The 26970-nt window shown below is 50.0% G+C and overlaps 1 protein-coding gene across 2 annotated transcripts; it reads right to left on the bottom strand.

Moving 5' to 3' along the window:
- PRELP (proline and arginine rich end leucine rich repeat protein) lies at positions 72 to 15618 on the bottom strand. Of its 2 annotated transcripts, none has more exons than NM_002725.4 (3): positions 15486 to 15618; positions 7267 to 8255; positions 72 to 4718 (listed from the first exon to the last, which is right to left on the bottom strand). In NM_002725.4, exons 2-3 carry the CDS (start codon positions 8237 to 8239, stop codon positions 4543 to 4545), a joined length of 1149 nt encoding a protein of 382 aa, NP_002716.1. In that variant the 5' UTR covers positions 8240 to 8255; positions 15486 to 15618; the 3' UTR covers positions 72 to 4542. The 2 variants fall into 2 exon arrangements, with proteins under 2 accessions (NP_002716.1, NP_958505.1); NM_201348.2 differs by having other exon boundaries at positions 15496 to 15618.
- Between the last annotated feature and the right edge of the window lie 11352 nt (positions 15619 to 26970).

Raw genomic sequence — 26970 nt, 5'->3', positions numbered from 1 at the left:
AGCCCTTTCCTTTATACTGTTCATACACAGTAGTTTCACTCGTGTCTGTGTGAAGCGACCACCAAACAGGCTTTGTGTGAGCAACAAGGCTGTTTATTTCACCTGGGTGCAGGCGGGCTGAGTCCGAAAAGAGTCAGCGAAGGGAGATAGGGATGGGGCCATTTTATAAGATGTGGGTAGGTAATGGAAAATTACAGTCAAAGGGGGTTGTTCTCTGGTGGCCAGGGGTGGGGGTTGCAAGGTGTTCAGTGGGGGAGCTTTTGAGCCAGGATGAGCCAGGAGAAGGAATTTCACAAGGTAATGTCATCAGTTAAGGCAGGGACCAGCCATTTTCACTTCTTTTGTGGTGGAATATCATCAGTTAAGGTAGGAACCAGCCGTCTGGATGTGCACATGCAGGTCACAGGGGATATGATGGCTTAGCTTGGGCTCAGAGGCCTGACACACAGCATTATTACAAACACTTAGGACACAGAGGTATCCATTCATGGATTTCTTTCCCTTTACCAAGGTATGAGTTCCTCAAGGATGTGCTGCTATGTATATTATCCATCCTTGAATGCGTAGCTGGGGACCTGGCATGTGACCGATATCCACTGAACATCCGTGAAGTGAACCGAAGTCGATGTTTAGTAGCCAGGTAGGAGCAGCGAGGGCGTCACCTGGCAGTTCTCATTCTAAAGAAGATGGTGTAGCCTGGGAGGGTCATGAATCCCACTTTTGCAACCAACCTTCCCTCAGAAGAGAGAGTCTGGGACACCCTGTTCTAACCCTTCGGTGGACTTCCGCATGGCATGTAGACCATTCCAGATGACTTGGTCTATGCTCTCTGTCCTTGAGATGGCTCTTTTACTGTTTTGTATGCACACTACATCTCCCCAGTTAGTCTGTAAGCTTTACTTGGGCAGGAAAGACGACCGTTTTGTGTCTTTCTGTGTCTGCCTCAGTACAGAGCTCCTGGGAGACCTTCGACAATTTAGTACATGTAGCTTGAAAGAACCCGAGGCTTTGGGTTTCAAAGGCAGCTGTCAGATTTCTGGTCCGACTTTAGGAATATATATATTTTTTTGTCTGTGGGTGGGCAGTCTCGTGGAACTGAGGATTAATTTTTCATGAGGGTTGTGAGTTTGCGAGAAATTCTTCAAGAAATGGCTTTGGGGCTGGGCATGGTGACTCACGTGTGTAATCCCAGCACTCTGGGGAGGCCAAGGTGGGAGGATCACTTGAGGCCAGGAGTTCCAGACCAGCCTGGGCAACATAATGAGACCCTGCCTCTATTTAAAAATAATAAGAAAAGAGGAAAGAAAAGGCTTTTGGATAGCTTTCGTAGGAATTTCTTAAGAGTATAATCTTTTCCCCACTCATCTTGTTAGAGCAATTAAGAGGCTTTGGGGCTGGGCATGGTGGCTCAATGGTAGGGGGTGGGTGGCAAGATGACTTTATTTTTATTTTTATTTTTATTTTTTTTAAATGAAGTCTCGTTTTGTCTCCTAGGCTGGAGTGCAGTGGTGCGATCTCGGCTCACTGCAACTTCTGCCTCCAGGGTTCAAGCAATTCTCCTGCCTCAGCCTCCCAAGTAGCTGGGACTACAGGCATGTACCACCGCACCCAGCCAATTTTTGTATTTTGAGTAAACAAGGGGTTTCACTATGTTGGCCAGGCTGGTCTTGAACTCCTGACCTCAGGTGATCTGCCCGCTTTGGCCTCCCAGAGTGCTGGGATTACAGGCGTGATCCACCACGCCTGGCTGGCAAGATGACTTTGAAGTGTTATTCTTGACCTGTTCACACCGTTGAGTTCACGCAGGGTGTTTTTCATATTACTTTATTTCCTGTACTGTGAAGTGTGTTGAAATGTGGAAGTTATTTCACAAAGTTAACAGGGTCTTCAAGACAGAAGAGATATACGTGCAGAGTACACACATACACCTACGTACACACCTGTATATGTCGATGACGACAGCATGGAGGGAATGAACTTGTGCATGGAGAAGGGGGCTTTTTTTAAACTTGAAAGAAACCAGCCCATTCTGTGTGTGTTTGGAGGAGGGGAGCCTGTAAAGCCTATTTACCTTGAATCCCCTCTGGCTTACAGCTGCAGAGAGCAAAGGAGAGCAGACATATTCTAGATTGGGCAGTGGGATGATGGTGATTGCGTTGCTGCTCAACGAGTCTGGGTTTGCAGGATCAAGGTAATGACCTCTCCCCTGAGGGCCTCATCAAAGGGGCTGAGGCTGCAAGCTGTGAATAAGATGCAGAAGGGGCTCTTATCCAGGCCGAAGCACCAGGTTGCTTTCGGCCATAATAACGTGTGGACTTTAAGCAGGAGCCTTGAAGAAACCAGCTGCAGCTAGAAAGAATGCGGCGATTGTAGTGGAGCACGGGGGAAGGAGGCTATGATGAAATGGGCCCTATTTTCCATAATTAGCAAAAAAGAAAGGTGAGAAGGAGCATAATGGGAATTTCTTGAAGTTAGGGACCCAGCTTAATCCAATTTCTTAAAAACCTCTGGAACTTTTTTCATCCTAACTTGGGGGTGGGCACTGTGTCTTACTCATTTCTAGAACATCCATCCTCTATGCCTCCCACCAATATACACACGCAGGGGGCTGAGAAGGGGCAGCATCCCTTGGAGGAAGTTAGGGGGAAAGGTGAAGTCGAGGCAGCCCTGTCTGGACCGGGTTCCACTTGGAGACCTGCCAAGCTGCTCACCTGGGCCAGGCAATGGAGGGTGGGGAAGCCTCTGGGGGAGGGACAGTCCATACAGAAAATAAATTACTGCAAGGGAAGGGGCAAATATTTAGGACTTGTCCTGCATTCGAGTATGATTTAAAGTGTGGAGCTGCAGACTCGGAACATGAGCGCCGGAGGGACCTCAGAGGAGCATCTTTTTTTTTTCTTTTTTGAGACGGAGTCTCACTCTGTCGCCCAAGCTGGAGTGCAGTGGCACAATCTCGCCTCACTGCAACCTCCGCCTCCCCGGCTCAAGCGATTCTCCCGCCTCAGCCTCCCAGTAGCTGGGATTATAGGCGCGCGCCACTATGCCTGGCTAATTTTTTTGTATTTTAGTAGAGACGGGGGTTTCACCATGTTGCCCAGGGTGGTTTCGAACTCCTGAGCTCAGGCAATAATCTGCCCGCCTCGGCCTCCCAAAGTGCTGGGATTACAGGCGTGAGCCACCGCGCCCGGCCGGGAGCATCTTATCCACCTCCTCGGTTTACAGATGAGGGAGCTGAGAAGGCACCTGGGAAGGGCCTACAACAAACGGGAGCCGACTATGTCCTCACCTGGGCTCACTCACGATGGGAATGAGCCCAGCCTGGGGACGTTTGTGCCCGCTAGACCCTAGAGGAGAGCGACACCATGCACACGGCCCATGGCTCTTCCGTGTTGGGACCCCACGGGCCTCCTCCACCGAGGAAAATCACCCCAGGAAGAGGGCCAGGCGCAAGACTGGGACCAGCTGTTACTCCCACCAGCCACTAGGTGGCACCGATGCGTCTGTCTCCGAGGAGGAGGCGCATTTTCAAACGTGGAGGGGCTTCTGGGAGACGTCCAGGTGCTCCGCCCCTTCCTCCCTGTTTCTCAGGAGCCGCCTCCCGAGGGTGGAAATGGCTGGGCCGCGCACACTGATGGAGAACAGATGGCGGGGGCGGGGCTGCCTCTTCCTTCCCCCGCCCCCACAAAAACACTGTGAACCCTCCTCCCTAAACCCGAGGTTGGGCAAGGGGGCCGCAGGACCCATCGACGTCACGCGGGCCCATCCCGGGCTTGAACCCTTCCCCTCTCCCATGGCTGCTTCCTAGTTCCTTGGGCCATTCTTCTCCTTGGCTGTTCCTCCTGAGGCCCAGCCAGGAGGGCGTGTGCTATGTTCACCCTGGAACAGAAGGGGGCGCCCTGCGCATCCCTGTGTCCTGCTGGCCAGATGCAGGCCCCTGCGGGAGCCCTGACCCTGCACCCTACCTCCGTCATTCCCTCGCTCCTCCTTCCCGATACCCGGGCCAGCAGGGCCAGGGCGATGTCTGGTGCCGGGGAACCAAGCGGCGGAGCAGCAGCTTTGCCAGAAGGGATCCTTGGCCCAGGAGAACTGGGTTTCTCGGCCTCTTTGAGCCAGAGCTGCCGAAGATGGAGGAGTCCCCAGGGGGACTTTCTGAACCTTACCTCCGGGCTGTTTGCTCGGCCAGGACCAAGATCAGATAGTCCACGGCCCAGATGTACCCAGGAGTGGCGGGTGGGGGAGGAGAGAGAAGGGGACACCAAGTCTTTAGACACATCTGTGTTTCTGGAGCAAAGGGAAACCACAGAAGGCCAGGAGTTTGGGTGTGCACTGGGTGTCTTTCAACTGGGTGGAACCAAACTGAGTCCTTGAAGTCTCGCTCCTGAGGCTGCAGAAGAATAGATGGCTTTTCCCTGCCTCGAGGGTGGGATAAGGGAGGCAAAGCTGGGAGAAAGAAAGGGAGAGAGAGAAAACGAATGGCCGGCACAGGTGCCTGGGCCCCAGCCTTCAAGTGCGGTCAGAGCAGATCCGGTGGCGGAGTAGGGCCTAGATGACCACGGACTGCAGGAGGCGGAAGCACATCATGAGGTCCAGCGGGATGGGCGGCTTCAAGTAGTTTCCATCCAGCCGCAGGTAGCGCAGGTGTGGCACGTTCTCCAGGTCCGAGGAGAAGTCATGGAACGCCACTAGGTCGTTGGGGCAAATCTGGGTTCCGTTGATTTCTACGGAAAAAGAAGACGAGAAATCAGAAGGGAGTGGAGGCTGGCGGCCAAGATGAGGAAGGGGAAGGGGGAAGACACCCGAGAGCAAGGACTGTAGACTTCTCTCTGAAACTGGCTAGCTTTGGGAATGTGTGATCATAGATGAGCTGCCTTGACCTCCAGGCTCAGTTTACTCATTTGTAAAATGAATTAAGTTGGAATTGATCAACAACTGTTATTGCAAGTTAACTCTAGAGAATTGGAAGTAAATTTTGAACTGGGCCTTCAAGAATAGGTAGAATTACAACAGGTGGAGACCTGGGGGATGGTGTTCTGATAGAGGAATCTGTTTGAATGAAGTTGTGGAGGCCAAAATTCTGCTTGTGGGCGAATCTGGGAATAGTAATAGTGCCCAATGTGATGTACTAAGGAGAGTAAGCTGGGAAGGTAGTTAGGCTTTCACTAAGAGGCTTTTGATCTCTGGTCTGAGGAATGGCAGTGAACAGGACTGTCTTTGTGAGAGCGATGTTATTAACAGGATACTTGAACCATGGTATCCTGGAGCGTTAAATCTGGAAGGGTCCTTAGAGATCCCTATGTTCAGGTTTATGCTGTACAAAGATAATCCGGCTACACTGTGGAGAAGCAATGGAGTAAGGTGAGATCTGAAGCCAGTAGGTGGATGTGAAAATTACTCTGCAGGTTTTCCTTTGAATTGGATGTGAGACATGAGGATGGGCAAAAGATGGTAACTGAAATAAGGATGACAGGAAGAGGAAAGAGGATCTGGGGAGAGCTCCGGAACCCCCGGGACATGATGAGCCTACTGATTCTGAAGGGTCCATGGCCTGAGATTCCATTTCCTCCATCACATCTTGTTGGATGCCTGTGGCACCAGGCATGCCAGCATTTAAATGAACTGTTTTATTCTCCCTAAGCCTTGCCTCACTTATCATTTATGGAGGAGCAGGAGGAGGAAGAGTAGGCATCATCTTCATTGTAATTGTCTTCCTCTTCCTTTTCCTCGTCTTTCTTCTTTGCCATTGGAGTAGCAGAAGGGCCCTGACACGGGGGTTTTCTCTTATGAGCTTGGGGCTGTGGCCTAGCCACCCTCATGCTGAGTTCTTCAATCTGTGAAATGGTAAGAGTGGTGCCTGCCCTGTAATCAGGGGAGAGAATGTTGGCAAAGGCATTTTGTAAGCTGTTTAAAGACAGTACCAGTGGCAGCATTATGGTCATTGTGAAGAACGTAATCACCCCACTGACCTAGGCCCCACTCAGCCCATTCTGTCGGGTAAAAGGCACAGGAGACAGGCTGGATGGGGTGGGCTCATGTGGGTGAGGTGTGAGTTCTCTGACTTCAACCTTAGAAGGTTGGGATATCCTCCAGCAACCTGTTCTTCCACAATCTGGTAGAGACCTATCAGCCATTTATTAATCAAGGTATCCCTTCTGTCTGTATTTTGGCCTCATAGCTTCCTGGGGGTAATGTGTTTTATTTTAGTGTGCTGTCTCCAGGGTAAAATTATACAGTCTTCCCCTTTTCCCATTTTTTTTTTGTAAGATTAAAAAAAAAATCCTCCCCTACTTCTTGAAATTATCCCAAATGAGTGAACGATCTATTCGCCCATTGTTGGTGTCGGTAGAGACACCAACAATCTCCATCTCATTCTTTGGTTTGGAACCTAAGGATCCCCAAATATCATTCTAGGGGTCCTTCTCTTTTCCCTCAATCCCTCTCTTCCCTTCTGCTGCTGCATCCCTTCTGTGAATGTAGGCTGATTTTGTTCAAGGACCAGAAAATATTATTTCACTTCTAAACCTTTCTGCTAATGCTCTGCTCCGAGCTGAAATTTTTGATTGAAGCAAAACTGCAACTTCCAGCCTCCTCTCCTGGGCTGCAATTGATACTCCAAGTCCAGAACCCTGTAAATGTCACTTAGGCAAACTCTTCCTTAAGTGCACCTAAACATCGCACCCTTCCAGATAGATTCAGAAAGCACCAGCATGCAGACCTTCTTTTCCTGACTGCCACATTTTTACCAGTTGCATACCCTGAATCAAAACCCAGGCTCAGGCTTGGGAAGAAGCATCTTCCCACAGGGGCAGGTTTCTGCAGAGGGCAGACCCAGGACATTTCAGGATAGGTATTTAAATGTCTCTGTTCTGTTTTTAGCAGAATGTCCAGGAGTATATTCCATGTCTACCCTACCTATAGATCCAGTTGCCAAGGAACTGGGGCTGAGGAAGAATGGAGGAAGAAAACCTATGACCCTCCAAGTATGGTATTCTGGGCACTTTCTCCATATTAAACTATTACATCCTCATATCACCTTTGTGATAGAAGATATTGTTACCATTCTCACTTTACAGATGAGGAAACTTCCCAGACTGGTCAAATATCTTTTCAAGGTCACCCAGATAGCAAGTGGCAAGGCCATGAATTGAAGTCCAGTGCCAAAGTGGATGCTTTTTATACCACCCCACCCTGAGTCTCCCTAGAGAGGGTGGAAGTGCTACACAAGCCAACCTCCTTGCCTTCGGCCCCGCCCCGGCCCACCCCACTCACTCTCGATGCTATTGTTGTTGAGGTACAGGTGTTCCAGCCTGTTGTTGATGGCGGGCACACTGCTGATCCTGTTGTGGGACAGGTGGAGCACAAGCAGGTTGGAGATATTAAAGGAGTTCTTGGGGAGTCCCCTGTCTGTCAGCTTGTTGTAGTTAAGCCGAATGAAGGCAAGATTGGGAAAGCTCTTGAAGTATCCGTTAGGGATGGTCTCAATCTTGTTACTGTCCAGGTAGAGCTGGTGAATGGCGGTGGGGACCCTGGGCGGCATCTTTCTCAGGATGTTGTGGGCCAGGTTGAGCTGCATGAGGTTCTTGAGGCCATGGAAGGTGTCGGGCTTGAAGACGCCGTCGCTCAGCCTGTTGTGCTGGAGATCCAGGAGCAGCAGGTTCTCCAGCTTGCTGAAGACACCAGGCGGGATTCTGGAGATGTGGTTCTGGCTCAGCCTCAGCTGCTCCAGGTTCCGGGGCAGGGCCGAGGGGACCTCTTCCAACTGGTTCTTCTCCATGTAGAGGAACACCAGGCCGGGCAGTTTCTCCAGCACCCTCTGGTCTATCTTGCGGATTCGGTTGTTGTCCAGGTTAATCCATCGCAGGCCTGTGGCATTCTGGAAGGACTCCACCGGGAGCTCAGTGATGAAGTTGTTCTGGAGATAGAGGTAATGGATGCGGGGCGGGATGACAGGGACCTTTCGCAGGTTGCGGCTATCACAGTAGAGGGCAGATGGGAAATCAGGGGGGCAGTAGCATTCGCGGGGACAGTCAGGGAAGATAGATGGAGGGCCTGGAGGGAGGGGAGGAGGCAGGTCTGTTGGCTCTGCTGGTTCATCAGGCTGAGGAAAGCTGGGTGTGGGCCTGGGCCTGGGCCTGGGTCTGCGCCCGGGCCCAGTCCCGGGTCTTGGTCGTCTTGTTGGCTGGCCTTGGGCCACTGAGGCCAAGATGAGAAGTGGGAGGAGCCAGCAGAGGGGTGACCTCATGATCCAGGTGATGCACCTGCAGGGAGAAGACACATAAGGTCATTATCCTTGGGCCCTCAGTAACTAGTTGTCATGTTTTTGAAGCCAGAGTTGGGCAGAACTAGAGCTCTAGGGAAGATGGGCAGAGCTCAGGGAGCTGTGGAAGCATCTCCTTGTTTGCCTGTACCCAGCAGGTAAGGGAATAACAAGGGCTTGAGGCTCTGGATTCCCTGGCCATTGGCTTAGCCACTCGATGTGTTGAGCCTGCTCTGAAGAGGGCGGGGGACATGCTGGTAGAAAGCACATTGGTGGCCAGGTGCGGTGGCTCACACCTGTAATCCAGCACTTTGGGAGGCCAAGGTGGGCAGATCATGAGGTCAGGAGATCGAGACCATCCTGGCTAACACGGTGAAACCCTGTCTCTACTAAAAATACAAAAAATTAGCCAGGCGTGGTGGCGGGTGCCTGTAATCCCAGCTACTTGGGAGGCTGAGGCAGGAGAATGGCGTGAACCCGGGAGGCGGAGTTTGCAGTGAGCCGAGATTGCACCACTGCACTCCAGCCTGGGTGACAGAGTGAGACTCCATCTCAAAAAAAAAAAAAAAAAAAAAAAAGGCACATTGGGGCTGGTGGGACAGTGGCATACAAGCCTGTAATCCCAGCACTTTGGGAGGCCAAGGCGGGTGGATCACTTCAGGTCAGGAGTTCGAGATCAGCCTGACCAACATGGAGAAACCCCATCTCTACTAAATACAAAAAATTAGCAGGGTGTGGTGTTGGACACCTGTAATCTCAGCTACTTGGGAGGCTGAGGCAGGAGAATCGCTTGAACCCAGGAGGAGGAGGTTGCAGTGAGCCGAGATTGCACCAATGCACTCCAGCCTGGGCAACAAGAGCAAAACTCTTTCTCAAAAAAAAAAAAAGAAAGAAAGAAAGCACACTGGACTCCGAGTCAGGAGTCCTGGGGCTTGTCAGAGAAGACCCTTAACCACTCTGGCCCTCAGTCCTCCCATTCACAGCATGAGAAAATCATCAGTGTCTTCATGAGAGGGATGTTAGGATGTATGAACCTTAGCGTCCTGGTTAAATCCAGAAAGGTCCTTAAAGATCCTATAACCTAGTGGTTTTCCAACTCTGCTTTCATTTCTGTGACATACCCCTGTGGGGAGGAGACTGAGGAGATGGCCCTGGGGTACCCTCAACCCATCCCTGTGCCAACCTCAGCAGCTCTCTTTAAAAAAACCTATTATATATATTGAGGTTTAGCCGAAGCATTCATTTGTTGAGGGGCAGGGGACACGTTTCTTTGCTAAAAATGGCTTGAAATCCACCAATCAACTCCAGACCCCACCATTTGCAAAAACTGAGGACTGGAAGGAAGAAGTGGCTCGCCAAGGCCAAGATGCTGTTTAACAGCAGATCCAGTCTGCACACTCACACACACACCTCTTCAGGTCCCATGCACATAAGCAAACTCACTCACTTATCCTCTGTGTGCGTATATGAGCCCATACGCAGTACACTGAGTATTGGAAGGAAAGAAGGAAGGCGGAAGGGAAGGAAGGCAGAGACTGTCTTTCTCCACCTCCCTCTAAGGTGGTCTCTTCCAAGGCAGGCCTCTCCAAGGAGGTCTGGAAGGCCATTTTCCCTGGCCTCCTATCACAAAGGACCTTGCAGTTAGGTTTTTGGCTTGATCTCCCGTTAAGGATATAACATTGTCAGAGATACATTGCAAGGGTTAAAAAGAGAAGGCATTAATTGCAAAACTTTAAGCTTGAGTCTTGTTGGCTGAACCCCACTTCACTTGTAATTGGTGAACTATGAATTAACATTGTGTAAGTTCTGTAATTTTCTGGAAAACAGAACAGTCATCTTGCATATAAATTAAGGGGGTAGTTAAAGCATTGGTATTCTAAAACAAACATTTCTAAAAGCCTCAATTTTTGTGACCCTGATTTAAAAAAAAAAATTTATTTTCTAATCACCCAGAAGCCTAGAAATGATCTAGAAATCTTTCATACTGTGAGAAGCCCTGTCCCAAGGAGGCTCCCAGCACTGGCGGGAGTTTTTCTATATCCCTTCATTGCCTTTGTCACCGAAAGCATATGCCAGGGACTGGGCACCAATTTGCCCAGGGCTTCCAGCAAAAGCAGTGAGGCACTGTGGCTGTGACCTGTGCTGGGCGGGGCGGGGTTTCCTTGGCTCAGTGCCAGGGCAGCCCTGGTCTTCATTGTCAGGGGTGAGAGGAACAGGCAGGTTACTCACAGCTCCACCCAGCAGGCTGGCTGTGCGCGCCTTCTCATCCACAGTAAACACAGGCCTTCCTCATCCCCATGTGCAGCACCAGACCCTTTGGGAACTTATCTTTTCACTAGTCCTCTGACCCGTTTACATTCCAAACCTCTGGGCCTAGCCAAGCTGCTCCCAGAGCCAACAGGAGGTTCCCCAGGAAATGCTCCCAGGAGCAAGTTATGTGGGGAAGCTGAGCCTGCTCTCCTCCCCTTCCCTCAGCCCCAGGGCTGAATCAGAACCATTCCAAGTGCAGGGATGCTTCTCTCTTAAGGAAATAGCATTCATTTCTAAGGCTTTTCTCATGGGGTGATGCCCCTTCCTGCCGGAGCTTTGCCATGAGGCAGGATGAAAAGTTCTGACAGCTGACAGCACAGCCATTCTCTCTGGCAGTGCTCCGTGATGTCCTAGGTCTCTGAAACCAGAATCTGTGTGACAGACTGAGGGTACCTGGACTCCATGGGTAGTCATAGTCCCTCCTACAAAGCCTCAGACCCACACTCTATGCTCCTGCCTTCTAGAAACTTCTGTCCAATCATAAGATTCCTTAGGATGGGTCCATGTGTGTGTTTTTAAATTTTTCTTATGCTTTCACAAGTGCACTTCTCCACCCACAGCTTTCTACTGGGCTCTGCTCATTGCTCAATCAGTGAAGGTTTGTTGACCACCTACAACAGCCAACTGCATGCAGTTCTGCTCTCCACCATCAGTTCTGGAAAAGCTGCTGCTTCACGGAAGAGAAAGGCAATTGCTTTGCCCAACCCAACATTCACTCTCCACATTAAAGAACGTTTCCTAAGAGAATCTTAATTTTTTTTTCTTTTTTCACTTTAAACAAAAATGAGATGGGGGTCTCACTGTATTGCTCAGGCTGGTCTTGAACTCCTAAGCTCAAGCAATCCTCCCACCTCGGCCTTTCAAATTGCTGAGATTACAGGTGTGAGCCACTGCACCCAGCCTCTAAGAGAGTTTTAAATTCTAATTTCAATTCCAACTATTGTGGATCTGGGCTTGACTCCTGGCTCTGACTCTCCAACCCGGGCTCCTCATCTGTGTGAGGATCAAATGAGATCATGCATTTGAAGGCATGTTATAAAGTGCAAAATCTCTGCAAGTGGCAGAGGCTTACTTACTCATTTATTTGTTTATAAACAGCAGATTCTCTAGAGAGACTCCTTGATTTTTTTTTTTTTTTTTTTTTTTTTTTTTTGGTGATACAGGGTCTCCCTTTGTTGACCAGGCTAGAGTGCAGTAGTGCAATCACAGCTCACTGCAGCCTTAACCTCCCTGGGCTCAGGTGATCCTTCCATCTCAGCGTCCTGAGCAGCTAGTACTATAGGCATGTGCTACCACAGCTGGCTAATTTTTGTCTTTTTTGTAGAGATGGGGTTTTACCATGTTGCCCAGGCTGGTCTCCAACCCCTGAGCTCAAGTGATCTGTCCTCCTCAGTCTCCCAAAGTGCTGGGATTACAGGCATGAGCCACAGCGCCCCAAGGACTCCTTGATTTTTAAAGTGAGATAGCCCCCTTCCCTATCTCTCTCATTAATTTAATGTTAAAACCCAGGAGTGGTGGAATGTTTCTGCTCAGGGCAGGGTTGGGTGGAAGTCCTGATGGGTTGGTCAAGTCATTAGGAGCAGCTATTTAAGGCTAATTGGCTTTGTATGGAGAGGTTGAGGTTGGGCTGGGAATGAGGTTGGGTTTGTCTCCCAGGGCTAGGCAGGGCTAGCAGCAGGGTTACGCCGCACTCTGAACTGGCATTCTTCTTACTTGTCAGATCTCCTGTCTAATTGGTCACCCCTAAGCCTCCATGCCTTGACCCAGAGCTACCCTGCAGTGGAGAATGGGGCTGCTTCTGACCTAGCGCTGTGCCGGTGAATGTCGGAACACCCCTCTCTCTTTTTTCCCTTCTTTCTGTTCTCAACCTAGGTGTCTGAAAGCCATCCTGCTCTCTGTATCTCTTCCTGTAGTCCAGAAGGGTGTTGGAAGCAGGGAGAATCAAGCAGTCTTTGCCAATTTATGAGCAGAGTTAGTAGAGGAGTGAGCCTGAGGCCCTTTCAAGGCCCCCATTAGGGCTGATGTGGTCCTGAGATAACAAAGGAGCCTTATGGGGGCATGATGACTTCAAGATGCCCCTTTCTAGGAAGGTGAAACGATACAAGGATGAGCTTGCCTGGGGCAGTGGGAGGAGAGCCTGTGGTGCATACTAGTTAGGAGAGAAGATTCTCACCCCTCCACCACTACCTAGTGATGCGAACCCTGTTCTGGGCCTCAGTTTTCTTATCTGTAAAATGGGAATAAAAAAATCTTCCCTATACCTATATTCCTTACCCAATTGTCAGAAGCAAGTGCAGTTAGCAGCTTTAAAATGCACTACAGATCAAAAAGTGCTAAAAATAAAAATAACACTATTATGGAGAGACCATCTGTCTCCCCAGTGTCTACCACAAGGCAAAGTGTAAACAGAATGAAGATTTTCTGGCCTCAGGCCACTAGTTTAGAAGAGAAAGTTTTCCATTCTGAGCGGTGGGGAAGAAACCAGGGTGAGACGACTCTTCTCTGACAGCCCGCCACCTACCATATCCTCTGCCCCATTCCCCCAGCATCTCCAAGCCTTGAAGAAAGCCTAGAAGAGTGTGTCTGATGCCTTGAGTGATTATAGATCTGAGACCCAATCCTGCAGTTCTTCATTCAGATGCTTAGCTAGGTAGGCTTAGGCAAAGCAATTGCTTTTCTGCTCTATAAAATGGGGATACTAACACCTTCTTTTCTGTTTTGAGGGTTAAATGAGTTAATACATGCAAAGTGAGTGTTTTCTGAATGTTAAGGTCTTGTTGATATTATTTCAAAGTAATGGGGTCTCCTTCCCTCCAGCCTGGCTAGAGGGCAGCCCCCATGCACTGCTCGAAGGCAGGGATCCTTGTGAGTGGGGTACCAGCTCTTCCACACAGAGCAACTTCCTCCCCTTTGTGGCTTGTGAGATCACACTTGGGTCTCAGAAACAACTAACTGAGGAGACTCTGGAAGTCCCCAGCCACCTAGGGAAAGCTTGTTCTGTCTTTCTAATTCACCAACTTCTCACCGATGCTTTCTGCAACAGGTGAGGGGACACTGGCCACAGAAGGTGCAAGTCTGCCTTCCTCAGTGGGCCATGGAGTTCCACTGCGATTCTTGACTTCTCCCAGCTTTTTGCCCCTTCCAGCCTTGAAATGCTTCACTCACATGCCCAATAAATGGGATTGCCCACTAGGGAGGTGGAGGGGGCATGAAGAAAGTGTTCAGCTCACCCTCTGTGAGAGCCCAGACAGGTGGCTGCTGGGAAGGAGGAGCAGGGACCTATAAGGGTCAGGGGAAGGGCCCAGCACATGCTCCTGGGGTCCTGGGGCAGGCAGATTAACAGGTGAGGGGAAACAGAAGCTCTGTGGAGCCATCTTGGGGGAACTTTCTTACTGGAATGTTCCTCTGTGGTATATATGGCTGCTTGTGCTTGCAAGGAGGAGAGAGGGAGACAGCTCTTCCCTGTTTACTCCCACTCCCCAAAAAAGAGGTGGCCTATTTGGGACACTCTGGTGCTCCTTTTCCAGGACACAGTCCTTCTGCCCAGCTAACACTGCCGGAGTCTTGGGCTTAAAAATTACAGCAAAGCTCTCTCTCAGGCCCCTGATTCTCGAGCCCTGGTGGACCATCAGAATCTCCTGAAGTATTAAAACAAGATTCCTGGGTCTCGATTCAGTAGATCTGCAGTGAGAGCCGACATCTGTATTTTTAGTAAGCCCTCCACACTCCTCCCTCTCCAGCCCTTAGGTGACTGTGAAGATCAGCTGTGTGTGGGACCCCTGATCTCCCTACACCCCGCCTGCCTTGGGACAGACCCTCTCTATTAATAGAGAGGAATGAGCAGGGGAGCAGGAGAGGGGCCGCCCTTCAGTTTTCCCCTCCCCAACTGCTTAAGGAACTGCTGCCTTTTTTTTTTTTTCTCCTCTGCCACAGGACCTTTTGCCAACCTAAATGGTTGGAATAATTTCAGAACGGCTTTAAAGAAAAATATTTTTCTGGCTGCCTGCAGGAAAAAAAAATAAAAAAATGAACTGTCCCCAGAGCTGGGAATTAGGACCTTCAAGGATTGGGAACTGGGTCGCTTTCTTCTTTCTTTCCAAAAGCCAAGTGGTTTGGACCAGTGAGACAGAAATTGAAAGCTGCTGAGAAGACACTGTGCAGGTTGGAAAAAGCCGTTTTTCTCTCCCTCCTACCCAGTGAAGCCCTAAATAATGAAGAAACCCTTCCAGCTCCCGCTCTTGCTTATCTCCTCCCTATTCGGCCTGGACTTGGGATGCAAGATTTTCTTCTGGCTCTGCCATCTCAGTGGGAAAACGTACTTTATCTTTGCTCTTACAGCTAGGGAGGTGTGTGTGAGAGGGCGAGAGACAAGATGCAGGGAACATGTGTGCATGCATGTGTGTGTGTGTCTGCTGGTGTCTGGTGATGATGTGGTCTAGCTCTGCATGTCAGATGCAGAGGGCAGAGGTGAATGGACAGGATGTCTTCATTTTGTATGGTCGTGTGGGGTGATGGTAGTGAACGTGCAGCCTCCGTGTGATGTGTGTGACTTCCACAATGTGTGACAATACACAAAAGGTGCAAAGAAATGGGTTCTGGAGTCCAGTTTCTATGGAAACACCTGATCTGTAGAAACACTTTGTGCAGCGTGGCTCTCTGTGCTACAACAAACATCTGCAGCAGGAAAGCTTAACTTTTGCAGTAAGCAAATATAGGGGTACAGAGTGATGAAAAGAAAAGGAAGAGGCTATAGGAAAGAAGTTAGGAAGACTAAATTTGAACTCATTTGAGAGGAGAAAGAGGTGGGAGGAAGGAAGGAGTGAGAGGATAGAGACTAGATCAATAAATGGACAGAGCTGGAGGAAACTTACTGGATGAAAGATTCTTCCCAGTCTCCTGCCCATCTCCCAACTGGGCTTACCTGCACACACCTGCCTCTCCTCTCAGCTCTGAGTTTAGTCCTCCTCTTCCACCCCCTCCCTTCGGCGGAGCTGTGGCAGCAGAGAGCCAGCTAGAAGATCTGATCTCCCAGTGGTGTGTGCGTGCTTGTGTTTGCCTGACTTTTCTTCCACCAGATCCTATTGGGGTGGGGAGGTTAGCTTGGGGGGAGGGAGGGGCAGATCATAGGGAGGGAGGGGAGGAGAGGAGGGAGGAGGGAGGGAGGGGAGGGGAGGAGAGAGGGAGGGAGCTTGGGAAAGGAGGAATGACAATAAAGTCTTTATTTGGCAGCCAAAACTCCCAAAGACTTCATCCACACACCATTCCCACTAACAGACTCATTTTTAATAACATTTCCTTCTGCTGCTGCCGCTTCTGGAGAGGGGTTGTTTGACCCATGTTTGGAAAACAAGCCAAATTAACAGAGTGAAAAGGCATGAAAAGCAACCTCTGTGTAAGCCAGGACTGGATGGCTGGGTCCAGCACTAGCCTGTTTAATTCCTCCTAACAATCGCCTTGCCTTCTGGGGCCGTTGCTCGGTAGTGTTAAATTCCTAAACCAGTGAGGGGTTTGGGATGCTTCCTCTGAGCAGTGACAGTCTTTCCCTAAGTTATCTTCTCCAGGAGGTTGCAAAGGGAGTGGAGTCTCAGGCTGGCATAGGAGATAACTTCGGTTTGGCTGCCAGGGCTGTTCTGAGAACCAGAGAGGGAGAAGTCTGGCCTGAGTTGCACAGCAAAGTTAAGGCAGAATTAAGATTTAATGTAAGACCTAAAGTCACTGTTCCTAGCTCATGTGGACAATGTAGTGGCTTCTTTCAGCTTCTCCATATCACACTTAGGTGAGATTTAGGGGCTGTGTGGTCATCACACAAAGTGATGGGAAATCCAAATTTCCCCTGTGCACATCAACACCCCAGAAGACCCAGTCAAGTAACACCACTACCTCTAACAATCCTCTAACAATGCCCCTCAATTAAGAAAGCACAACACACTTGCAGGTAAGTAGATGCCCATCAAAATTTCCTGCCATGGCCAGGCACAGTGGCTCACGCCTGTAATCCCAGTACTGTGGGAGGCAGAGGCAGGCGGATCACCTGAGGTCAGGAGTTTGAGGCCAACCTGGCCAACATGGTGAAACCCTGTCTGTACTAAAAATACAAAAAAATTAGCTGGGTGTGGTGGCGGGCATCTGTAGTCCCAGCTACTAGGGAGGCTGAGGCAGGAGAATTGCTTGAACCTGGGAGGCAAAGCTTGCAGTGAGCCAAGATCGTGCCACTGCACTCCAGCCTGGGCAACAAGAGCGTGACTCTGTCTCAAAAAATAAATAAGTAAATAAAATAAATAAATTCCTGCCATCCCAGCTGACTACTTAGAAAATGCAACGCAATTTTCTTCTCCATTATTGGTTCCATGGAGAGCTGCAGAGCCCCATGACAGGGGACTGCCTGCCTGCCCTCCGCAATATGGGGTAGAGGAGAGAACATTAAAATTAGGGTCTGCAGCCCTGGGCTCAGCCACCCACAAGCTATGGTCTTAGGTGAATCACTTGATCATGAGGACCTTCAGTTTCCTCATTTACAAAATATGGATAATATTGACCTCACAGGGTTGGGAAGATTAAATATTGTAAATGTGAGAGCACTTTATAAACTGGGAAGATATTAGGGTTTAGGAAAGGGATTGCGATGAATGGTAATTAGCCTAAGAAAAGGAGAAGGAAAAATAAAACCCAGACCTTTCTCCAACCCCCTTCCACCCCAGATCTCATGGCTTCACGCCCTGCTGGTGAGGTCTTGCTGGAAGACAGCACGGTTCCTCTCCAGGTTCACATTAACTGTGGCTCTGCCAGGCTGCTCATGTGCTTCATTTCTCATCCAGATGGGATATGGCGTCTTCTGCAGGCCGGGAACATCAGACGCCAGATTTGCTTGTTTCCCTTGGTATGGTGGGTGGTAGATGATAGAGGGCAAAAAAGACTGGCTGGGCACGGAGACTCATGTCTGTAATCCCAGCACTATGGGAGACGAAGGCAGAAGATTAATGGAGCCCAGGAGTTCGAGACCAGCCTGGGCCATATGGGGGGACCCTGTTTGTACAAATAATTTAAAAATTAGCTGGGTGTGGTGGTGTGTACCTGAAGTCCCAGCTACTTAGGAGACTGAGGTGAGAGGATTATTTGAGGCCAGGAGACCAAGGCTGTAATGAGCTATGATTACGCCAGTGCCCTCCAGCCTGGGTCACAGAGCAAGACCCTGTCTCAAAAAATAATAAGGTGAGCAAAGTACAGTGAGGTACAGGGATGATGGGTAGAGTGTCTGTGGGGATAGACAGACTGGAAGGAGTGTGGAGTATGGGCAGGGGCAGGGGTGTCACCTGTATCCATTTGTATGACAGCCATCCAAATCCCAAGAGTCTATGCTCTCGGGAATGGATGGCCAACTTCCAAGCCCTGCCTAAGCCAGTTATCTCCCTTCCTCCCTCTCCTATCTCCCGCATCCCACGCTATGCAGAGAGAATTGGAAAGAAGTATAGACATGGCCAGCAGGATATTCAGGAGTGTCCAGAATAGAGTTTGCTAATCAGTGGCTTGTGGACCTAATATGGCTTGAGTACCTAATTTTTTTTGACAGCACGTTAATTTTTTAAAAGTTTTGTGGAAATTTTAAAACGTATACATATTTACACAGTATAGTATTAATATCCCCATTATCTAATACCTAGCTTCAACAATTACCGACTCATGGCCAATCTTGTTTCTTCTGTGTTCCCCACTCCCACAAACCCTACTGGTATATTTTGAAGCATTGGTTAAAAAAAAAAAAAAGGATTTGAACACCTTTAGTCAGGACAAGCACTTCCCAGTTCAACACAGTCGCCATCCTGGTAGACAGGGGTCCAGGTTCTTGGGACCTGGCTTTGCCCCATTGCATGCTGTGTGACCTTGAAGATGTCTCTCTCCCTCTCTGACCTCAGTTTGCCATTTATAAAACACGAGGTTGTACCAAATGACCTCTCAGTGCTCTTCCAACAATACTGTGAAGAGAGAGTATAAGGTTTGGGGTTAGGAAACCTGGATTAAGATGTCAACTCTGCTGTTCTCTAGCTACCTGGTGAGTAGGTCTCAGCACACGAGCCTTGGTTTTCTCATCTGCCCCATCTCCCTCCCAGGGTATACCCAAGATAACACAAGGATCATTGGCAGCAATGGCAGGGGAGTATTTTGTGATTCACTGGCTTCATGCACCCTGGGACTATGTGGATCCTCCAGGAAGAGCCTCCTCTACTCTCCTAGAGTCTCAGGGACACCAGTGGTGTGTCTTCAACCCAGGGGAGGTATTTATCTCTTGCTGGTGTAGCCAGAGAACAGTCACAGGCACATGATGTGAATGCTGGGGCATATGGTGAGAAGTCCAGATATGCACATTGTTGCTGCTACTGCTGCCTGGTCCTAGGAGAGGGCTAGGGGCAGCATGGTTAGGAGACAGAATGCAGGGAGGGCCAGGCAGCAGAGGGAGGGGGCTCTCCAAGTTGGTGGGTTTCAGCTGCATTTGCAGAGTTGGGACCTGCCCACACTTCCCATCCAGACCGAAATCCATCTGGGGGGCTTACCATTTCTTTGACCCTCACAGTAATTGCTGCCTTGGTTACAAGCAGTGAGTGCTTAAAGCAAGAGAAGAAAGGACACAATTGTGTAATACTCTTTCCATAGAAGTACAGGAGGGAGGTACTCAAGCTTCCCACCTCCCCCGTGGTGGTCCTGAGACTTTGCCGGGAAGGAGCAGTGTGGGCCCGAAGAGTTTGGCTCAAACTGCTCAGTGGTCATCAGGACCCACAGAGGCTGGCCCTGGACGGACCCTCACCCTGTACTAGTTGAGGCTCCCAGTCCAGGGTGGGTGGGGTCTGGGCAAATGCATAACGGGGGAGAAGCTGTGTGAGTCCTGTGGCAGCCTGTCCCACCCTCCAGCCTGGGGGGCCTGGGTTGCCTGGGGTGAGTGGGCCCCTGCTGGGCAGAGACAGCATCCTGTTCATCATGGTATAACCCACAGCACCCACCAACGGCTTGGCACACCCTGGGTGCTCAGTAGGGGTCTGTTTCATTGAATTTAAGAGGGTTGAACAAGGAGATTCTCTGTCACCCTCTTTTTTTAAAAAAAGGTTATTATTTTTTGAATAGGTAATACATTCTCTTGATTGAAAATCTAAGAGGTATAAGAGCTTGCATAGGGAAAAAGTCTTTTCCCTTGCCTATCCCCTCATCACTCACTTTCCCCCAGAGGACCGTGCGCCAGTTTCTTGTGTCCTCACAGATTTATTTAAGGTACACACTAGTAACAAATAAGCAGCTATGCACTTTTATTTTCACTTAGTGGTACAGGTATCTTTTGAAGATGATCATATTGGTCCTTTTGGTGATTCTTTCTCTGCCCCCACCCCCCAATATTTATTTAGTTGACAGTCTCTCTTGGTGAACATTTGGGCTCCTCTTTTTTTTTTTTTTTTTTTTTTTTGTGACAGAGTCTCCCTCTTGTCGCCAGGCTGGTGTGCAATGGTGCAATCTCGGCTCACTGCAATCTCTGTCTCCAGGGTTCAAGTGATTCTCCTGTCTCAGCCTCCCGAGTAGCTGGGATTACAGGTGCCCGCCACCAAACCCGGCTAATTTTTGTATTTTTAGTAGAGAAGGGGCTTCACCATGTTGACCAGGCTGGTCTTGGCCTCGAACTCCTGACCTCAGGTAATCTTCCTCCCTTGGCCTCCCAAAGTGCTGGGATTACAGGAGTGAGCCACCTCACCGGCCTGGGCTCCTCATTTTTTTTTTTTTTTTTTTTTTTTTGAGATGGAGTCTCACTCTGTCGCCCAGGCTAGAGTGCAGTGGCACAATCTTGGCTCACTTCGAGCTCCGCCTCCTGGATTCACGCCATTCTCCGGCTTAGCCTCCCAAGTAGCTGGGACTACAGGCGCCCGCCACCACGCCTGGCTAATTTTTTGTATTTTTTAGTAGAGACGGGGTTTCACCATGTTAGCCAGGATGGAGACCTCCTCATTTTTAAGGTAGGCAGTGCTGGAGTTGGAGTCTCACAAACTTGGTTGCAGGCCTGGCTCTGCCTCCTCTCCATGCTAACGGGGCGGCCTTGGGCTACGCAGCCCTTCCTGAGCCTCAGTTTTCTCCTTTTATGTCTCAGGTATTCAAGGCAGTCCATCAGCTCAGTAGTGACAGAAACACAACTTTATCCTATCATTTCACTTCTCTAATTTCTGGATCCAAGTGCTCATTTCACCAGGATCGTGAAATACTCCATCTCAGTCCTTGGTACCCGTGGGGGGCCACCCAGCAGCTTGAGGCAGGTTTATGCAGTGGCAGCTCCAACGGGGATGGAGGGTGTCTGTGGGGAGGGGACGTACATGGCTCCTGGCTGATGCTGCTGTGGGGCACACCCTCCATCCCACCAGGCCCCTTCTGGCCGAGCAGCCCTCTGACATTTCCTAGGCTACATGTAGGGGACAAGAACTTTCTGCAGGAACTTTCCTCTCTGGAAACATGCTGGCTGCCTGGCACTCTGCCAGGGGCAGGCTCCCCGATTCCCTCTCTCAGGGCTCTCATTCTCCTCCAGCTCAACTCCTTTTACATGCACATTAAAGCCAGGGGCCCTTTTATTTTCTGGGGAAAGAAGTTTCCATGTTCCCCTTTCTTCTGGCCAAGACACTGTGTCTATGCCCAGAAGCCCCCAAGAACCTAGGCTTATGGAAAATGAAGCCAAAGGCACATGCGGGCGGCTTCTGCTTCCTGCCTCCCCACAGATCTGATCTGCTTGTTTCGATGAGAGGAAGGGACAGGGCAAAGGCAGCGGAGGAAGAAATAAAACTTATCTGTCGACCACACAGTGAGCACAGCCGGACTGGAGAACCCCTAAATCCCTCTGTGCAAATTGTCCGTGATCCTGTTGAGGGGTTGTCAGCTTGTGGACCATCTGAGCAGTCCTACAGAGAGTCCTACAGAGAGAGGGCTGTTGACACCTGGTGGGAAAGAGGGTGCTGATACACGAATGCTATAGACATGGCTTTTAGGCCTAAGTGCAAAGGCTACACCGTCAGCTGGTGTTAGCAGACAGCACTAGCCTGGGGCTGCTCAGTAAGCACTGCTCTGGGCTTCCCTAGGTCTCCCAGAAGCCAGGCTCGAGTGAGTGGTGATGGCATTTTGCCTTCCAAGGTGAGGTCCTCCTAGGTTCTGGGATCTCCCAATCACATCATCCTGAAACCCAGCCTAATTTAATTTTATGTTGTAAAAGTCACAAGTCACAGCAAGTCACAAGCACCTGGATCGAATATCCAGGTTCCAGGTATCATCCTGAGCAAGCTTCCAAATGCCATCCTGCTCCACGTAATAGACTATTGGGTAATGACACTGCCTCATACAGGCACAGTCCCACTGCATCCTGCGACGATGGCCAGTCTGTGGACATGTGTGGTCAGTTATGCCACATATTACAAGGTCTAGGAGGGCAGGAGCAAGGCAGCCCTGCCAGGGACCCCCACACATGACCTTGGGGGTCCCCACATCCATTTGTGCACCAAGCAACGTCTCTAAATTGAATAACAGTAACAATAATAAAGCCTCTTGAGAATTATTATAGGCAAAGCACCCTTCTTAGCCCACCCTTCTTAGCTCAATGAGGCAGGGACTTCTATAATACTCATTTAACAGGTGAGAGACTGAGGCACAGACAGTTTACATTCCAAAGGTCACAAATCTAGTAATGGCAGAGATAAGATTTGAACCCAGGTCGTCTTCCTATGATGTTCTTGTTTGTGTGTATGTATACTGTTGTGATGAATAAAATGCAGATTATTTAAAATCATCTTTAAATTCATGTAGCTTTGTGTCATTATGTATTCATACAAGTCCAACTATCATCACATACTTCTTTTTTAAGTTGAAAAGAAATCTTTGCACTTAAAACTGTTAAGAACCACTGATCTAGGTTTCAGTTACTCCTTCTTAAAAGACAGAGTTGCTTTCAACTGTTCCCTTCACCCTGCTCCCCACGCCCTGGACTCTCCAAGTCCAGTCAGTTCTATTTCCTCGATGGCCTGACAGCTGGCCCCCTCTCTCCTGTCATGGCACTGTTTTCTTCTAGACCCTGGCCCACTGCTACGGTGTCCTGATGGGTCTCCCTGCCCTCCACCCTCCACCTGACTCTTCCTCAGGTCACCTTGCATGGTTCCCTGTCCCCATGACCATTGTTCTTGGCCCACAGCACATGTTAGATTCACCTAAGTGTTCCTGAAAGTGCCTGAGGCCCCAGCCCTAGAGATGCTGGTTCAAATACATGTGCGTTTTCCAGGCTGTCATCAAGAATGATTCTGATCTGTGCCCTTTGCTGATAATTAGACCTGTAGAATGCAGTCCAAGCTCCATGGTCTGTCTCCTGCTTACCTTTCCAGCCCTGTTTCTCAAAGTCTAGACTCCAAGCATGTGACTGTCTCACAGCAGCCAGAGTACTCCAAGAGATTTCACCTCTGCATGCCTTTGCCCACTGCTCCTTCCATGTAGAAAGCCCTTCTTCACTTATACCTGTAATCCCAGCACTTTGGGAGGCCGAGGCGGGTGGATCACGAGGTCAGGAGTTTGAGACCAGCGTGATCAACATAGTGAAACCCTGTCTCTACTAAAAATACAAAAATTAGCAGGGTGTGGTGGCATGTGCCTGTAGTCCCAGCTATTCGGGAGGCTGAGACGGGAGAATGGCTTGAACCCGGGAGGTGGAGGTTGCAGTGAGCTGAGACCACACCATTGCACTCCAGCCTGGGTGACACAGTAAGACTCCATCTCAAAAAAAAAAAAAAAAAAGAAAGAAAGAAATAAAGAAAAAAGAAAAAAAGAAAGCCCTTCACCCCCCCAGGTGTTACATCTTCTAGGATGCTCTCCCGACAGCACTCTCCTCTTTGACCCCTGGTCTCTCCGTTTGCTGCAGCAGTCCCCCAGTGGATGGCCCTCCCAGGAACCGTGCCACTTCCTCGCCCTTCTCTGCTCTCCTGTCTGCCTTATCCACAAGCTCCCATGGGCCTGTGCCAAACCGGATTCCTACTTGGAGTCCCAAGACCTACATGGTTCTAACACAGAGTAGGCGCTCAGGATCCTGCACTCTGGCCCCAGCAGGAATCGGGCAGTGAGCCGAGAAGCGCTAGAACACTTTCTCCTCTTAGCGTGTTTGTCTGAATAATTGCAAAATCCTCCTGTTTTTATTTTTTTCCTGAAGGCTTCTCATCTTCTAATCTGTTTTCCATGACCGAACAAGTGTGTTATTTCCTCAAACACAAACCTGATCATGTAATTCCCTTGCTTAAAATTTTGCAATGTCTCTCAGGTATTTATAGAATAAAATTCAAATGCCTTGGCATGACATTTGAGACCCTGCAGCCTGACCTGACTTTCTTGCCATTCTCATTTCCTTTCATAGTTCCTGTGGAACCAGAGAACCAGACTCATGGGATCCTGGTTCCCTGCGTTTTTTGTTTTGTTTTGTTTGTGAGACAGAGTCTCGTTCTGTCGCCAAGGCTGGATTGCAATGGCATGATCTTGGCTCACTGCAACCTCCACCTCCCAGGTTCAAGCGATTCTCGTGCCTCAACCTCCCAAGTAGCTGGGATTATAGGTGCGCACCACCATGCCTGGCTATTTTTTGTATTTTTAGTAGAGATGGGGTTACGCCATGTTGGCCAGGCTGGTCTCAAACTCCTGAACTCAGATGATCCACCCGCCTCGGCCTTCCTAAGTGCTGGGATTACAGGCATGAGTCACCGCACCCGGCTGGTTCCCTGAGTTTTTATGCCTCTATGCCTTTGCCCAGTCTGAGTTCAGCTGTCCTTCTTTCTCCTGTTCTCCATTTGGGGGAATTCCTATTCATCCTGCAAGGCCCAAATCAAATGTTACCTCCTGTGTGAGGCTCTCCTCGGTTCCCACGGGCAGAGTGAGCTCACTCTTGACTGTGCCTCCCTGGGCCACAGCTCTGCACAGCACTGTTACTTCTTGTTTCCACGTCTGCCTACTGTGTGATTGAAGGGTCTCCAAGGCAGAAACCCAGCTCCTGGCAAATAATTAAATAATAATGGTCAGGATAGCTAGCCCTTACAGAGTACTTACTATGTGCCATGCATGTGCTTTACAGGGCATTGGCTCATTTAATCCTCATAACAGCCTCAGGAGTAGGAGCTATTATTACCATCCCCACTTTACAGATGAGGAAGCTAAAGCAGAGTGTTATCATACAGTCAGTAAGTGTTAAGGTATTACAGTAAGGGTTGAAGCTGGGATTTGAACCCAGGCAGCCTGACTCTGGGATTCACGCTGTCTATGCGGTCCTGATAAATGCCCTTAGAATGAATGGTAATCTGCAGGCTCTGAGCTAGTGAGTGTGTGTTTATGTGTGTGTTAACAAGACATGATATGACTCTGTCCCTGCCCACATAAGCTCTGGTGTCAAACTGGGTTGGAAAGGTGTTCTCCTGAGGCCTGGTACAGACTGTGGCTTTCAATGAAATAACAGAATTGTCATCTCTTCCAGCAGGTGCTACCCACCCTCGCCCACTCCCCTCATTTCTCCCACAAGCTTCGGCCTCCTTTCTTTGTTATTTCTCCTTTATTTTGTTCTGCTTGGCCAGTCTGGAAAAATGACTGGTTGGCCTGCAGCTCGGGGAGTGGTGCTTGGTCTTCCTCTTGGCCTCTCCAGGCCCCTCCTTCTAACCCCCCGTGCACAGCCCTAGCCTTGTTCAGAGCCAAATCACAGGGTTCAGGGGCTGGGCCACGTGTCTGCCCACCCCGCTGCCTTCTGAGCCTGTGAGCCTCCCGACTCCTGCCCCACCACAAGCAAATGACCCAGCCAGAGGCAAAGACCAATACCAAGAACATGCTCAGTCCATGTACTCCCTCCCCAGCCTCCCAGGCTTGGAACTGCTACTGCAGGATGTCACCAGCCATGTTCCCTACCTGTCTACTGCCTGAGCCCTCCTAGGCTGGCATTCTTCCCTGGCAGGCAGCCCACCTGAGCAGACCCCTCTGTTCCTATGCTTACTCTGCCTTCCACTCGCACACACTCACTTATGGATTTTCCCTGAACCCCTACGCCCACGCTTTACAAAGCCTGGCTCTGCCTTTCTGTGGAATATGCCTCAGGCAGAGGGGCTGTGTATCCCTGGTCAGCCTGGCATTTCCCAAGAGTGCCAAGAGAAGGGAGTCTCCCAGCTGATGGTGTGGGAAAGTGGGGCCACGCTTGGCTTTATCCTTGTTCTCCCTCCCAGGTCGGTGCCCAGAGAGGGTAGCAGGGGCCTGGGGACTAGTCAAAGTGCTCCATGGAGCAAGGCATGCTTGCTTCTGCGCTAAAAGCTTACTCACAGCCTCAAATGAGCAATACGGAAGCAGACAGGATGATCTGAGGGCACCAGGACCCATAACGACTGTCTGACCCCAAAGGTACATAGTAAAGGATAAAGACTTTTTATGGCTGTGGCTCGTGAAATAGCACGATGGAGGATCCAGAGCACTGTCATGAGGTGTCCATGCCAAGAGACACTGTGTTTCCTTCTAGTGTTTATGCTGGCTTTGGCGTCATCAACAATGGATTTAGCCAAGAGAGCTCCAGGCCGAGGCTACGAGCTCGGGAAGTAATTTACTGGGTACAAATGCTGCCCCTTCCATCCAGTCACCTCTCTGCAGTGCATTGCAGCCACCCCAGCCATGCCTGGGGAGACCATCCTAGGTGCCCTTTCTTGGGAGGCACTCTGGGGTGGGACTAGCGTCCATGCAGCAGCAAGACCAGACCCTCCATGCCATGGCCTCCTCCCCACATGGTCCCTGGGAGCTGCCCCTTGCTAATCTCAGGGCCTCAGGGCCAGCTGTCCCATTCCAGGAGGCCATTCCTAAGACAGAGCAGGGCTCTGGGGCTGGAAACAGTTATGTGAGCAATGGAGCATCCCATCTTGGCCCACCCCAGGTGTGGGGAATTTTCAGGCCCAGTTGAGCCAAGCCACAGAATGAAGGCAAAAAGGCAAAACATGTTTTGGAAGGTGGCTGGCAGCCCCAACTGTCTGCTCCATGGGCCAGGGCTCCATGAAAGGCTGTGGAGTTACCGAAGTGGTGCGGGGCCTGGGGAAAGGCAGCCCAGGACAGTGATGGCTCTGCTTTCTTAGAGACCCTCAGAAATGAAGGCTCTCTACCCCACTGTGCCTCATTCCCCCAGTCATGGTCAGCCTAGCACTTCAAGCTAAAATGACCTTGTTGGGAAGTTCTTCCTTCCATCTACCTTGCCTCTCTCATGCTGGAATTCAGGCTTCTTTCTATTTAGATCCTTGTTGGAAGACAGAGAAGCCCTTTTCCATCTTGAGTGGAATTTGGATTTGAGGACAGCTTTGGGCTCCTTGGAGACAGGTGCTGGGTGAAGGGCAGGTGTTGTCCTTAGCACTATTATGCCATTAGCA

This window comes from Homo sapiens, chromosome 1 (genome assembly GCF_000001405.40).
Source record: "Homo sapiens chromosome 1, GRCh38.p14 Primary Assembly".
Lineage (NCBI taxonomy): Eukaryota > Metazoa > Chordata > Mammalia > Primates > Hominidae > Homo > Homo sapiens.
Note: the sequence above shows the minus strand (reverse complement) of the source record. Positions and strands in the feature narration are given on the sequence as shown.